The sequence below is a fragment of the Homo sapiens genome, chromosome 7, assembly GCF_000001405.40.
Source record: "Homo sapiens chromosome 7, GRCh38.p14 Primary Assembly".
In the NCBI taxonomy this organism is placed as follows: Eukaryota; Metazoa; Chordata; class Mammalia; order Primates; family Hominidae; genus Homo; species Homo sapiens.
In genome coordinates this window covers 157,714,144-157,729,964 of record NC_000007.14, presented here as the reverse complement: position 1 = coordinate 157,729,964, position 15,821 = coordinate 157,714,144, and the positions used below count along the sequence as shown (strand labels likewise).

The window sequence follows — 15,821 nt, the reverse complement described above, 5'->3', positions numbered from 1 at the left end:
AGAAGAATGCCCTGTTCCTGGCCCACTGAATCCAATGCTGGACTCCTCCGAGTCACACTCACAGACACACGTGGATCAGGTTTAATCTAAACACCTGTGGCCCAGTCAAATGGACGGTCCTTCCCTCATCCGCCTGCCGCTCCCCGTCCTCCACGTGGCCAGCAGGTGGCCCTTATGGGTGTGGTGCAGTCACTACCTGGGCACCATCTCTGCCAGGCGTGAGACCTCAGCCCTCTTCCTGGGTCCTTTCCAGCACATGGGCTCTCAGCGTCCTCACCCTAGCGACCCTCCCAGGACCTCCCTGCAGGACTGGGTCAGGACCAGGAAGCCCTCGGACCCCAGGATGGCCCTTTGCAGGTCTCAGGCACTGCAGAGCTCCTTTTGCAAGCTCTGATGTTGTTTGATGGTGTCCGGCTCACCAGAGGCTCCACTCGGACAGCACCAGCACAGTGCCCACCTGCCTTCGGGGAACTTTGCATTTTAGCAGCGGAAACATTTCCTCAAAGAGAAGTCTTCCCAGGAGTCCCTATGCACGGAGCTGCTGAAGATGGAGCTGTCCACGGGAGCAGAGTGGGGGGTCCGGGACCTGAAGGCATCCAGCCCTCCAGAGCCCAGGGTTCCAGCCACCGCACAGACTCCAGCCACTGTGCTCAAGACAGCTCATGGGTTCCCACCTGCCTCCCAAAACAAATCTGGGCCAAGTGGATTAGAGTTTTAAATTCATTCTTTTTTAAAAATACATGAAGATTCAAAGATGGGCAGATGCAGAAAATGAAATACTCTATATTGTATTTAATAGGAATTCTGTCCAAAAAAAAAAACAGAGATGGGTATATCAAAGCAATTATCAACTTCTGCATCTTTTCTGTTTTCCTCCCCGACTATTTTCAAAGGCCCGGTATCAGCCCAGATTCCCATTGTCTGTGTCCAGACAACGACCGACCTCTGTGTGACTGGATCACGTGAGCCAAACTCCCCTGGCCCCGGGTCAGCGCCGTCTCCCTCGAGGCTGTTTCCTGGTCTCCTTGGGACATTTATGAGGAGAGCTGATTAAGGTGGTGCCACTCCTGGACCCAGAGAAAGAGTTCTTCATGCCTGGGCTCAGTGGGGCTCATGGAAGTCTCTTCTGGGGGATTTGAGGTTCTGGTCTGGGATTGGGAATTCATTCCTTTTTGTTCCAATTTCATTAACCTCATATAAGAAGCAGGTAAAAGCAATTTATGCAAATCCTTTTTTCAATAGTCTAAGACATTTTACCTTTTGATAATAGCAGCCAGGCAAAGGAAGGAGCCGCAGACAGGCAGGTTTTGAGGCCCCAATTTAAAATCTGAGCTACCTTTCCCCACCTCTTCAAAAGCCTTTCTGTGGATAAGTTAAGAGTGTAATCCCTTAGTCTGGTACAAATGTTTTAAGACTTTGTATTTCTAAAATCCAATTTGAGTTATCCTTGAACTTTAAAGCTGTTTTGTCCACTGAGCCAAGGGCCCCGGGATGCAGACAAGTGTGGCCCAGCCCCTCGCCCCCGTGAAACCCCAGCCGCCATGGGCGCCAGGAGCCCTGTCAGAGGCAGGAGGCACCGACGCAGATGCTGTGGGCTTGTCCTTTCTGAGAAAGATCTTCACGCGCCTTCTTCCCCTAGACGGAGAGGCTTGGGGTGCAACAGCAGCCCTTGCTGCTGGCCACATGGGGCTGAGGGTGGCCTGTCAGGAGGCTGTACAAGGCATGATTGCAGGAAGCACAGTGAGGAGACCGCGCGGCAGAGTCGGCCCCATCTGTGTTCTCCTGGCTTCGTGGGACCCGGACACCCCAGGCCTCCGGGCTGCATGTGTCTGCCCAGCTGAGCTGACCTCCTTGCCAGACCCTCGCTGGGTACCCACCGGGTACCAGGTGGCCCTCAGGAGCCCCTCTGGGCCTCCAGGTGTAGACGGGAGAGGCAGAGCCCACAGACGTCTGCAGGGTGGGAGCTGGGGGGCCCACAGATGCCCCATAGCAGAGGGGAGGGTGCTCAGCTGGGAGGAGGCTCTGAGTGTGGAAGGATGGAGGGTGGGTTTCTGGGCACAGGGCAGCCAGAGATGCAGCAGTGCAGGCCCCACAGACTCAGGGGTCCAAGGGCAGGGGCTGCTGCAGCTTCAGGCAGGGCCAGCAGCAGAGCTGGTCGCGGGGGTCTGGGCTCAATCACTGCTCACGGCTCACGCCTCACACTTTACGTGACACTTCTGGTTCTCTCAAGCCTTTTTCTCAGTAATACAGAATCTCATAGTTACGTAAACGACACAAAACAGAAAATGGATCGTCCTAACCGTTTTTAGGTGCACGCCTCTTAGCATTGTATGTGTTCACAACGTTGTGCGAGCATCTCCACCACCCATTTCCAGAACCTTCCATCATCCCAAACTGGAACTCTGTCCCCAGTAAACACTGACCCCTGTTCCTCCCCCCACCCCGGCAGCCCACTCTACCCTCTGTCTCTGAGTTTGATGACTCCAGGGACCTCACACAAGTGGAATCACACAGTCTGTGTCCTCTAGTGATGGCTTCTTTCACTGGGCAGTGTCCCCAGGGTTCCCTGTGTTGTGCTGTATGTGTCCTTTGGTGACTGGCTTATTTCACTGGGCACATGTCCTCAGGACTCCCCATGTTATGCCATATGTCTGCACCCCCTCCTCTTAGGGCTGGTGACATCTGTCAGTGTGGATGGACCACATTTTGCTCCTCTGTCCATCCGTCCACAGATGCTGGCCTTGCATCCACCCTTTGGCTGCTGTCATAAAGTTGCTGTGAACCTGGCGTGCAAATACCTCTTCAAGACCCTGCTTTCAGTTGTTCTCCATGGACACCCAGACATAGGGCTGCCGGCTCCTATGGGAATTCCATTTCTAACTCTGAGGAACCGCCACCCTGTTCTCCCTAGCTGCTGCAATAGCGCAGTGTTCCCATCTCTCTGCCTTCTCACCAGCACCTGTTACTTTCTGTTTTTTTCGGTAAGAGTCACGCACATGGCATGAGGTGGAATTGCACTGAGGAATCATGCTTCCCCAATGATTTTGGTGACGCCAAGCGCCTCTGCCTGTGCCTGAGGTCATTTGTGTGTCTTCTTTGGAGAAACATGTGTTCAAGTACTTTGTGTTTTCTGAACGAGATGGTTTTCCATCGTTATTGTAGTTGAGTTGTGGAAGTTTCCTACATGTTCTGGATATTAATCCCCCACTGCAATTTGATTCGCAAATCTTTTCCCCCTTTATATGGGTTGTCTTTTCGCTCTCTGGATGGTGCGCTTTGACGCACAAACGTTTTGAGTGTCATCAAACCCAATTTATCTATTTTTTTCTTTTGTGCCTGTGTTTTTGGTGTTATATCCAGGAAATCGTGGCCAAATCCAATGTCATAAAGGTCTTGCCCTGTATGTTTTAGGTCTCACATTTAGCTCTGAGTTCATGTATGTTCTGGCCAAGTGTGCGTCCAGCCACTCTGCTATTCGCTGTGAGTCAGCGCACGCTCGGGTGGGAGGTGACGGTCTGGCTCACTCCTCTGCGTGTGGATATCCAGTTTTCCTGGGAGGCGAGGGTCTGGCCACACTCCTCTGCGTGTGGATATCCAGTTCTCCTGGGAGGCGAGGGTATGGCCACACTCCTCTGCGTGTGGATATCCAGTTCTCCTGGGAGGCGAGGGTCTGGCTCATTCCTCTGCATGTGGATATCCAGTTTTCCTGGGAGGTGAGGGTCTGGCCACACTCCTCTGCGTGTGGATATCCAGTTCTCCTGGGAGGCGAGAGTCTGGCTCATTCCTCTGCATGTGGATATCCAGTTTTCCTGGGAGGCGAGAGTCTGGCTCATTCCTCTGCATGTGGATATCCAGTTTTCCTGGGAGGTGAGGGTCTGGCCACACTCCTCTGCGTGTGGATATCCAGTTCTCCTGGGAGGCGAGGGTCTGGCCACACTCCTCTGCGTGTGGATATCCAGTTCTCCTGGGAGGCGAGGGTCTGGCTCACTCCTCTGCATGTGGATATCCAGTTCTCCTGGGAGGCGAGGGTCTGGCTCACTCCTCTGCGTGTGGATATCCAGTTCTCCTGGGAGGCGAGGGTCTGGTTCACTCCTCTGCGTGTGGATATCCAGTTCTCCTGGGAGGCGAGGGTCTGGCTCACTCCTCTGCGTGTGGATATCCAGTTCTCCTGGGAGGTGAGGGTCTGGCCGCAGTCCTCTGCGTGTGGATATCCAGTTCTCCTGGGAGGTGAGGGTCTGGCTCACTCCTCTGCATGTGGATATCCAGTTCTCCTGGGAGGCGAGGGTCTGGCTCACTCCTCTGTGTGTAGATATCCAGTTCTCCTGGGAGGCGAGGGTATGGCCACACTCCTCTGGGTGTAGGTATCCAGTTCTCCTGGGAGGCGAGGGTCTGGCTCACTCCTCTGCGTGTGGATATCCAGTTCTCCTGGGAGGTGAGGGTCTGGCCGCCGTCCTCTGCGTGTGGATATCCAGTTCTCCTGGGAGGTGAGGGTCTGGCTCACTCCTCTGCATGTGGATATCCAGTTCTCCTGGGAGGCGAGGGTCTGGCTCACTCCTCTGTGTGTAGATATCCAGTTCTCCTGGGAGGCGAGGGTCTGGCCACACTCCTCTGTGTGTAGATATCCAGTTCTCCTGGGAGGCGAGGGTCTGGCCACACTCCTCTGGGTGTAGGTATCCAGTTCTCCTGGGAGGCCAGGGTCTGGCTCACTCCTCTGCATGTGGATATCCAGTTCTCCTGGGAGGCGAGGGTCTGGCCGCAGTCCTCTGCGTGTGGATATCCAGTTCTCCTGGGAGGCGAGGGTCTGGCTCACTCCTCTGCGTGTAGATATCCAGTTCTCCCAGAACCACCTGTTGAGGAAACCGTCCTTTCCCCCACAGGTTTTTTAAAAGTCAGTTTATTTTTGTTTAGTATGGGAAAAAGCAGGTTATTTTTAAGGACACGAGAATTTTATTTCAGATCAGTACATTTTTAAGGTTATAAAATTTAGTTAATATTATCTTTAAAATATTGATAATATTTCAAGCCAGATATTGACTCTGTCCCATTTAACATGTAATGCATGCCTTTTAATTTACTTTAAATTTATCATGTAAGAAGAAGCATGATTCATGGAAAGCAGACTCAACAATACACAGATGGTCCCCGCCTCAGGATGGTTGGACTTAGTATTTCTCACTTTACAGTGGTGTGAAACTGTACTCTGAGTGCTCACCCAACTACGCTGTTATTCACTTTCAGGGCAGTAGTCAAGAAATGGCCTGATATCTTCAGCACTTTATCATAAACAGGCTTTGTGAGAGATGGTTTCGCCCAGCTGCAGGCTTGCATGAGTGTTCTGAGCACACGTAAGGCAGGCTGGGCTGAGCTGTGATGCTCAGCAGGTTATATGGATCCAGTACGTCTCTAACCTAGCACATTTCGACTTGCACCGGGTTCATTGGGATGTAACCCCATGATGTAACCCCATCATACACTGAGGAACCTCCATAGTGTGTTTATCTGAGAACTGAATACATATCAAAATGTAAAGTAAATTTAACCAGGAAATTGGCTCCAATAATAGACAAACAAAGCTTTCAGTGACCTGATGGCTAATATCCTTACCCGTTTGATTATAGAAGTTTTATGTTCGTAATTCCTGTTTTATTTGTGAATTACAAGAGAAAATGAACAGTTTCAGGCTGCTATTTGTAAGCAAGCGTCTGCAAATAAATGTGTTTCAGGTGGGGGTAGCCTAAATGTCACGTAAACCAGCGCAATTCAGACGGGGGAAGCCTAAATTCCACCCACACCAGCACAATTCAGACGAGGGAAGCCTAAATTCCAGATACACCAGCGCGATTCAGATGGGGGAAGCCTAAATTCCACCCACACCAGCACACTTCAGACGGGGGAAGCCTAAATTCCAGATACACCAGCACAATTCAGACGGGGGAAGCCTAAATTCCAGATACACCAGCGCGATTCAGACGGGGGAAGCCTAAATTCTACATAAATCAACAGGTCTCAGGTCTCTAAATTCCACATAAATTAAATCAAATTTGGATAGATTGATTCCCAGACGTTCTGCTCTGAGCGTTGTGTGCAGCGTGGAAGTCTTTCTGGCCTGCTGTGTATGAGCGGGAATTGGATGGTGGTGGATTCGCTTTGGGGCATGGCTTCATTGCTGGCTTACGTCTCTCACACTTGCTCAGGGTCCGTGTTCCTTCCAGAGCTTGCCTTTCATCAGACTCCATCTGAGCACCAATTTGACTGCACATCCCTGAGTAGGAAAAAGCCTCACGTTTAACATCTGCAGTGCATAGAACTTCCACAGTGGCTGGCAGGTCACTTGGGTGGGATGACAGCGTCTCCGGGGACAAGGATGGACAGGTGGATGGGTGAAGAGCATGAGGTGAGGAAGGCCTGGGCTGTGGTAGAGAAAGGAGAGGAGGGAGAAAGTGCTTGGGAACACAGCCGGCGAGCGCAGTGACATGCTGGTGTGGGGAGAGGGGCACGGGGCCGAGAGCCACAGTGTGGAGCTGGTTTGGGACTGGAGTAGAAGCTGGTTCAGGGAGAAGCCGTGAGCTCAGTGGGGGACAGGTGGCCAGCCGGGGAAAGGCCAGGGGACACCAGGGGAGGCATTCAGCCAGTGCTGTGACAGGAGAGCCTGCAGCTCAGGCCAGGCCAGACCAGAGCTGTCCCCGTGGACATTCTGGTGCCAGAGTGTGGGGGCAGAGGCCAGGAGAGGCGTCAGGGCAAGGGGACAGTCCGTCAGGGCCCCACATTCTATGTTCACCACAGAGCAGCTCCGCTATCCTCAGATGCTGGCTTTCTCAGCTTGACTGTGTGAGTTCCTCTTTGAAGGAGAATTTCTGAATGTGACTTAATTCAATTTTGTGCTTCCAACAAATCTTCCCTCATTAAAAATAGCTAGGAGACCATCTGCATTGGTGAGAGTCTGGGTTTCCGGGAAATGGTAACGAAACTCTGCAGTTGAGCCAGGGACGCAAAATGCATCGCCCTGCCCTGCTGGCGGTGGGCTGTTGATTCAGTGACCTACCAGGTGCCAGGAACAGGGGTGACCTCACAGGTGACACAGCCTGGCCCCACCACCAAGCATGGCCCCACATCGAACCCGTGGGAGCAGAGCCCCACCCTGCACCGCCTCGCTCACCCCTGCCTTCTCCCTTGCCTCTCTGGATGACAGACTGGGCCCCTGCTGCCCTCTACTCCTCTCTAGGCTGCTCTCCCAGGTGTGGGGAGGCTGGCACTCATGCCTCCTTCCCTCCTCACCCCTGTCCCCCCCGGCTGCACCTGGATGCTGCGATAGGCAGTGCCCTGCCGAGGAATGGAGGGCCGCCCAGGCCCACACTCGGGCCACGCAGGAGTTGCTTCTGGCGTCAAGTCCACACATTTCAGTGCAAACGCAAAGCCTCCAGGATCTGGGCCAAGCTGCCACTCCAGCTTCATCTTCATTCACTGCTCGTCTGCACCACCCACGGGAGCCACGCACCTTTCCCAACTGCACCGACATGGGCGCTGGGTCCCAGGTTCTGCCTCGAGAGCCCCTGCACCCCCGCCCTGCCCCTGGCCCTGGCTCCATCTGACATGACATCAGGACCCCCCCTGAGAGACCATGTCTTCTGTCAGGCCTCCCCTCCCTGGCGGGATCACTCCCTTCCCAATGCCAGGCTGCAGTCAGCATTCGTGAGCACCCAAAATATGCCAGGCAGCATATGAGGCACATGGCACACGTGGTCTCACCCGTCTTCCCACCAGCCGTGAAGTGGGTGCCACGAGCCTCCTCGCAGGTGGGGAGGACCAGGGCGTGGGGAGCTGACCTCACAGACACGTGAGGGTGGGGGCCAGGGGCTCACTGTAACCTCATGACAGGGACCAAATGCTGCCAGATACAGACAATGTTTCTTGGTTGGTGGCTGCTCCGGGGGTGGGGGGCGAGACTGAAGCGCTTTTGCGGCCGAGCACCACATGTCAGGCTGCGCACAGCACGTGGTCTTCGGGAAAAGTCTGTTGAATGAAGTGTTCTCGTTTGAAGACACATATCCCTTAACCCCTGAGCCTCTACTCTAGAAGGAAGGAGGTTTAGAATGCTCTGTAACACGATGAATAAAATGGAAGGGTCTGCAAAGCCACCATCCTCCAGCGGGAGCCCCAGGCCCCTGGGGTGGGAGCAGGAGCACAGGAGGAGCCCTAGGCAGAAACCCGGCTCTCCAGGGCAGGCAGGTCCTCTCAGCCTCTCCCCAAACATCTGTGAGGAAACCGTGCTGCAGCCACAGTGTCGAGACACACACCCTTGCCATCAGCCACCTTCCTCCCATGCAGCAAGCTCGGGCACACCCAGTGTAGAGGGGAGCTGCGACTCAGTGGACGCTGACACTGGGCATCGGTGGGAACAGACAGCGGTGCTGTGGCTCCTGCTGGTGGGACGCTGGGCTCGGCTGACAGTCAGGAGGCAACGCAGCTGTGCACATCCGAAGCTCTCGACGTGTGGAGATGCTTTGGCATGGACACTCGTCCCCTGACACTTCATCCTAAGGACACAATTCTTTGAGATGTGCAAAGAATGAAGTGCGTGGCTGTTCATTACAACATTGCTCATGATGCGAACATGGCACATGAAGGGATGTGGATGGGAGACTTTCCGACGAGGGAAGCCCCTTGCAGACCAGGCACCCCTGACATTTCTGAAGAAGCAAATCTCCCTTGTGGATGCAGCACCCAGAGCAACACTAATGGGCCTACACCGTGCCCGTTGTGTGTTCTTAGCAGGAATTTTCTGTGCCGGGGAACAGCTGTTTCTTTCTATTCCTTTATATTTTTCTAAGACTTCCTTTTGCCCCGAAGTCTTCTGTTTTATATCTGTACCTAAAATAGGCCAGAGCACACACACCACGGCTGCATCCTGAGCGGCTGTGATAGTCAGCTCTGTGGACCCACGTCCATCCCGCTGTCCTGACACCTCCCCGAGCCCCCACACCTACCTCCCCAACATGGGGCCTCTGTCAGAAGTAATGAGACCTTCCTCAACTCGCGAGGGGCTTTCACCTTGTCACACTTAAGAAACACTCCTGCGTCCCGTGTTTTAGGAGAGCTAGAGCCAGTCACACGGTGTCCCCTGCCCAGGGCTCCGCTGTCCCAGAAAGACTGGAAATGAGGGTCTCGGCTTTGCCACAGGAATGGGTGGGATTCTGCCTGTTTCTCCATCTTTTTGTAATTTCTATTATAAAGAGTGAGGCACGCTCACCATTTGCCGTTATCCTTGAAGGAGTTTCTCCCCAGAAAGCGCTTGATGGAGACGAGGGCACCTGCTCCTGGTGTGGGAAGAGGTAGCTCGTGGAAGCCACATGATTCACGTGACTCCCTCGGTCCCCGCGTGCACACCCATGCATCGGTGCAGCCGGGGCCGCAGTGTCCTTGGCTCAGGCCTCCTACGCAGGGAAGCAGGGTCGGCCGCTGGATCACCCGGCTGTGCAGCTGGGATTTGCCCTTGACCCGGGTGTGCAACAAGGCTTTGTCCTGTGGGCCGCACGCGTTCCCAAACACAGAGCAGGAGCTGCAGGAGGCGGAGAAGCCAGAGTGACAAGGTGGGTTTGGGGGTCTGAGGGCCCCAGAGGTCGGACATTGGAATGACCGATTGCGGCAGCCGAGAAACCAAGAGTGGCTGCAGTGTCACCGCGGCATGATGGGGCGAGGGTAGCTACCAACTGAACCTAAGGAAATTCAGTTCCATGATAAGCCAAGAAGGGTCAACAGCGTCTCTCGCTAACACTGCAGATATCTGGACTGGCCCCGGGGCCTGGTCCCTGGTGGTGCCATGCAGCTGAGAAGAAATTGCTCCTATAAGCGAATATCTGACACCCCAGCCAAAAGTCTTATTCTTTCCCCTAAATTCCAAAGGAATTTCCTCTCTATTTTCCAGTCGATTGGAGTCGTTTCCATCGGTGGCTGTCTTACCAGTGGGTGATGAGTCTGAGAAATAGGAACCATGTCTTATTTATCTGTATGACCCCACAGCAGTAACTATTATAATGCCTCAGACTTAAGGACTCAATAAATATTGGATGACTAGACAGAAATTAATTAATGAACATGCTAGCTTCCTGGTAACATATGTAACATCTCTCTTGGTCCACTTAGACTGTAAATTAATGAGACCTTTGAGGAATGAAGAAAGTACGCGGGCAACTGCGGGAAGGCCGGAGATTGCAGAGGCTGTCTTCAGAGAGGGGTCTGGGGAGCTCTTTCAGCCTTGTCCCGCGGGCCGAGCCCACTCCCCCGGCATACAGAGCTCCTCTTGGAGGGGCCCTGCTGATGGTCTGGCCCTGCTCTCCGGGGGCGCTCATGCCTTCCACTGCCACTGGCTGTTATTCTTTCTGCCTTCATGCCAGCTGGAGCTCCCGGATGCCAAGAACTGGACAGCAGGCACGAAGTTCTCCGCGTTCCCAGGAGGCCGGGATGTGCAAAGGGCATGGCCGGAGCCGGGCTGTCCTGACAGACATGTAAGCACACAGAAGGGTGGCAGGTGACCTTTCTCTGGAGCGCATGACGGCAGTGCTGTGGCCTTGGCCTTCCACTCCCAATGGGGGACTTCCCACTTCTCAGACCTAGAGAGAAGGCCTCAGGGTCCCTTGGGAAGCACGATCTCCGCTCCCCCTTTAATGGGTCGAGAATGGAGACGTGAGTCAGGCACAACCTTCAGAAGTCCTGGCACGAGGGGCCTGGAAGCTCAGGTGGGGCTTCCGTGACCACCTGCGGCCACACAGGGCCCAGGGCCAGCCTGGACGAATTGTAAAGGGACCCTCTCATGGGGCTTCCTGCTCAGGAGAGGCAGGAATGGGAGATGTGGGTTTGGCTGCAGGCCTGAGCAGGTGTTGGAGGACAGGGGCCATGCACTGGGGAACACGCTCCTGGGGAGACCCCCTCCTGGAGCCCCCAGGGCCAGAGACGCCTGCAGGAGGGAGAGGTCCAGAAGATGGCTGCCCAAGAAACAGGGCAATGTGTGGGGATGGAGGCAAGGGGTGGGGCATGGCAGGCTACAGTAGCGCTGCCACCTGCAGGAGGCGGAGAGGCCACAGCGACAAGGTGGGTTTGGGGGTCTGAGGGCCCCAGAGGTCGGACACTGGAAGGACCGATTGCGGCAGCTGAGAAACCAAGAGTGGCTGCAGTGTCACCGCGGACGCCTGGACGTGCTGAGACTCACCCCGGGGCCATGGAGAGTGGCTGCAGTGTCACCGCGGACGCCTGGACGTGCTGAGACTCACCCTGGGGCCATGGAGAGTGGCTGCAGTGTCACCGCGGATGCCTGGACATGCTGAGACTCACCACGGGGCCACCGAGAGAGGCTGCAGTGTCACCTCAGATGCCTGGACATGCTGAGACTCACCACAGGGCCACGGAGAGAGGCTGCAGTGTCACCTCAGACGCCTGGACATGCTGAGACTCACCTCAGGGCTGCGGGGCAGACCTGGAGCCAGGCCGGGGACTGCAGGGTTGGGAGGAGGAAGGCGCTCTCCAAACACGCCCTGTGAAGCCACCGTAGAATCAGACTGTGCCTCCAGCCTGACCTGTGCTGGCCCCTTCCTGTGAGCTCCAGGAAAGTCCGTGCTTGAAGAGCTCATTCATGAGTGCCTTGTTTTATTTCCTTCACATGAAAGCAGAGAACATGAATTGTTTTAAAAATAGCCTCTCCTTCTACAAGTCATTATTTGCAGAAATAGCTGATAGTTCAAAAACTCTAAATTCATTTGCCACGTTCATTCAAATTGTTCTGATCTTATCATCTTTCCCAAATCCCACATTTATTACAGATGTATTTATTCTTTGTCTCCCCTCCCTCCTCTATATAATGGTTTAGGAGAGATTACAAAAGGTAATTTATAACAGGTTAAAAGAGAGACCTCACCACTCACAGAAAAACGAAGCATTCCCCTCCCCAGAGTGGAGACGTGGCTTTCTGGGGAATGTGGCCCAGGGCCCTGGCCGCCTGCCCACACGCGTAGAAATACATGAAATGGCTGCGCATGTTTCAGTCACTTAGAGAAATACCGAAAAATGGCTTCATATAAACCTCTGAAAGGTACGCGGGGTAGCAATTAATCTCCTTCCGTAGTAAAGAGCCCAGCTGCTTTGGCCATGATGAACATCAGTCTTTGCTCTTGAAGGCTTCAGAACAGGTGTAACAGGGATGGGGCGCAGGTGCTGGCCCGCAGGTCGGGATGTGCCTGCTGCGTGCCCCGGCCACCCCAGCCAGCGGTCCTGCAGCAAGGAGCAGCCGGTGCCCATACCTGGTGAAGAGGCTGGGTTGGCCGCTGCCTGGCCTGAGAGGTGAGGCGTGGAGCTGTGTCCACATGAGGAGACGCAAGGGAGCGATTTCCATGAAGGAGTCCATAGACCTCCGAGCTCTTTCTCTGTAGCTCAGCTGAACAACGTTGCCAACTAGGGAGGGCACTGGCTTCCGCGGTCAATTGCAGGCTCGGACACTCACTGCAGGCTTAGCCTTTGACTAAGTCAGCTGACCCTGCAGCACCCAGGTGCCCACCTGTGACCTTGTGGCGATGCATGTCCCATGCAGGTGCTGAGTGTCCAAGCTGATGTTTGCAGGATACCCACCCGTGGCTCCCACGGCACCATCAGGCTGTTGCCCCAGATGTGCAGTTGTTCCCTCACTGGGTCACCGACATGCCTCTTGCCTCCATGCACTGAGTTCAGGACCGTGAATAAGTGAGGCTTGTTGGACCCACCAAATGTGCTTTTTTTAGAGATGCATTTTCTCAAAGCCTCGTGGATCGATTTTGGTGATGCTGTGAATGACCATCTTTGTGTCTGTGAGTCCCCGTGCAGTGAGAGGTAACAGCAGTGTTCCTGCAGAGTCTAAGTGGCCAGGCAGTGTTCCTGCAGAGTCTACGTGGCCAGGCAGTGTTCCCGCAGAGTCTACGTGGCCAGGCAGTGTTCCCGCAGAGTCTACGTGGCCAGGCAGTGTTCCCTCAGAGTCTACGTGGCCAGGCAGTGTTCCCGCAGAGTCTACGTGGCCAGGCAGTGTTCCCGCAGAGTCTACGTGGCCAGGCAGTGTTCCCGCAGAGTCTACGTGGCCAGGCAGTGTTCCCGCAGAGTCTACGTGGCCAGGCAGTGTTCCCGCAGAGTCTACGTGGCCAGGCAGTGTTCCTGCAGAGTCTACGTGGCCAGGCAGTGTTCCCGCAGAGTCTGTGTGACCAGGCAGTGTTCCCGCAGAGTCTACGTGGCCAGGCAGTGTTCCCGCAGAGTCTGTGTGACCAGGCAGTGTTCCCGCAGAGTCTACGTGGCCAGGCAGTGTTCCCTCAGAGTCTACGTGGCCAGGCAGTGTTCCTGCAGAGTCTGTGTGACCAGGCAGTGTTCCCGCAGAGTCTACGTGGCCAGGCAGTGTTCCTGCAGAGTCTACGTGGCCAGGCAGTGTTCCTGCAGAGTCTGTGTGACCAGGCAGTGTTCCCGCAGAGTCTACGTGGCCAGGCAGTGTTCCTGCAGAGTCTACGTGGCCAGGCAGTGTTCCTGCAGAGTCTACGTGGCCAGGCAGTGTTCCTGCAGAGTCTGTGTGGCCAGGCAGTGTTCCTGCAGAGTCTGTGTGACCAGGCAGTGTTCCTGCAGAGTCTATGTGGCCAGGCAGTGTTCCTGCAGAGTCTACGTGGCCAGGCAGTGTTCCTGCAGAGTCTGTGTGACCAGGCAGTGTTCCCGCAGAGTCTTCGTGGCCATGGCCCACCCAACAACTGCGACTTCTTAGGACGAGGACTCAGGTGTATGAGTTCCTCACAGCCCCCTTTTTCAGCCCAAGGCGATGCCCACAGTGTCCTGGCACCACCTCCCACCCCCAGCCTGTGGCTGAACCCAAAGGGATGGCCCGGGAGCTGATGGGTCACAGGCCATCCCATGTCCCACGTGGGCTTCTCAAAGGTTTTGGTTCCCATCCCTAGTTTTGGGGCAGTGGCTGTCTCACATGGGGTTAGGGTGGAAAACAGCTAAGTCAGATCAGAGCGTGGAACCCCAGAGCTGGTGTAGCTGTACCTCCAGGCCGCCCGCTGCCCTGCTCCTTGCCATCTGTGTCTCCCCGGAGCATGCAGCCTGCCTGGAGTGCTGCCCTGGGTGTCTTTTCAGAGTGCAACCCTGCAACCTCAGCACAGGAGTCTGTCTCCATCTTGACAGGCATTGCTGAAGATGTAAGTGCTCCCCCAGAACATCGGGGTGTGTAGGCCCTCCACGATGTGCTGCTTGGACGGCGGAGACCGCCGTTTTCTCTTGGCAGTCTGGCGCTGAGTGGATTTGCCCAAAGTCACAGATCAACTTGCTGTTGCAGCAGGGGCCGGCCTGTTTCTGGAGTGGTTTAGATTTGGGATGATGGAGCTATGATCAGCTTACACCAGCGCAGTGCCTGGCAGCTTTAGCAGAAGGGTCATTCACTGAGGTCCAGCCAGCAGTCAACAGCACTTAGAAAACAACAACCAAGAAGAGTAGCCAGCGCCAAGCAGAACCGGGGGCCTCCCCTCCTCTGCGAGCACACAGCAGCCTCCTCATGCCCTTCATCCCCTATCACTTTGCCTCATTCTGTTTTCCTCTTCTTCCTTTATGGTAGCGGGGGGACTGGCACCCCAGTGTCCTTGCATCTGTGCTGGTAGGTTGCTGAGGGGTTTCCCGCGGCCGCCGGCCTGTCTCCCAACACTCCCTGGGCCTCATTCATTCCCACCACGACCCTCCTCTTGGGCGCACGGCCTGGACTCCCGCCTCCAGCCCTCCCCACCTGTCGGTATTTCTCTCCCACCCTGCAGGGGGTGCTTTTCTCAAGGCCATTTTAAGCACACATTTCACTCATTCAGAGTGAAGATGACACAGAAGCCACCAGATTCAAGTGCTCAGAAAGCAGGACAAGCGCGTCGGGCTCAGAGCTCTTCCCCAGGAAGCTGGCCTCCAAAAGCAGGAGACGGAGAATCCATTCAGGAAAAGCACATGGGGCTGGGCGCCGTTCCCTGGGGAGCTGGCCTCGGAAAGCGGGAGACCCAGAATACATTCAGGAGAAGTGATCGGGCTTGGAGCCATTCCCTGGGGAAATGGCCTCAGAAAGCGGGAGACCTAGAATCTGCTCAGGAGAAGCGCCTCAAGCTCAGTGCCGTTCCCCAGGGAGTTGGCTTCAGAAAGCGGGAGACCTAGAATCCTTTCAGAAGCATGTCGGACTGGGCGCCGTTCCCTGGGGAGCTGGCTTTAGAAAACGGGAAACCCAAAATCGGCTCAGGAGAAGCACGTCGGACTGGGCATCGTTCCCCAGGGATCCCTGACTTCAGGGCCTTTTGTGCCACCTCTGTTAGTGAGTGTCGGGATTCCTGCAAATACCAGATTTCTGGAGGGTTTGGAATATTGATTTTCTGTTGAAGAAATTAGGGTGAGCATTTTACTCAATAAAAATCAGGAATCACAATTCCTAAACTCATAGATTTTTCTACAGATCTTAAGCCTCCATTGTTATTCCTATAGTAGCTCGCCCTGGATAAAATGGAGACATCCCTCAATTCTGCCAAGCAGAGCTGCCGGGAAAGACTGAGGTCGCAAGCCCAGCCCTGCACAGGGCGAAAGGAAGGACCACTCAGACTGTCCTGGCCTGGGTCAGGTGCCACCCCACAGGTAGTAACTCATCAAAGATGCGCAGTTTAACGGACTGTACTATACTGACAGTAAAACGAACTAATCTGGCATCCATACACTGTGTCTGTCAAACTCAGTGATGCACACAGGTTTAAACATTGTTTTTTATGTGTTTTAATTTTTCATAGCCTTCTAACGTGACCTGTGAGACGTCTCTGCAG

At 54.8% G+C, this 15,821-nt stretch overlaps 1 protein-coding gene across 10 annotated transcripts in view, besides 1 other annotated feature; it reads left to right on the top strand.

Annotated features, from left to right (window-relative positions):
- The window catches only part of PTPRN2 (protein tyrosine phosphatase receptor type N2), a 1,048,768-nt gene that overhangs the window by 857,859 nt on the left and 175,088 nt on the right, over positions 1–15,821 (top strand). The window lies entirely within an intron of this gene.
- Positions 3,042–3,242: a silencer, noted in NCBI's record as "peak6875 fragment used in MPRA reporter construct". NCBI's record gives its function as "represses an SCP1 promoter by STARR-seq MPRAs in K562 erythroleukemia cells {active_cell/tissue: K562}" and the evidence as "EXISTENCE:reporter gene assay evidence [ECO:0000049][PMID:32103011]".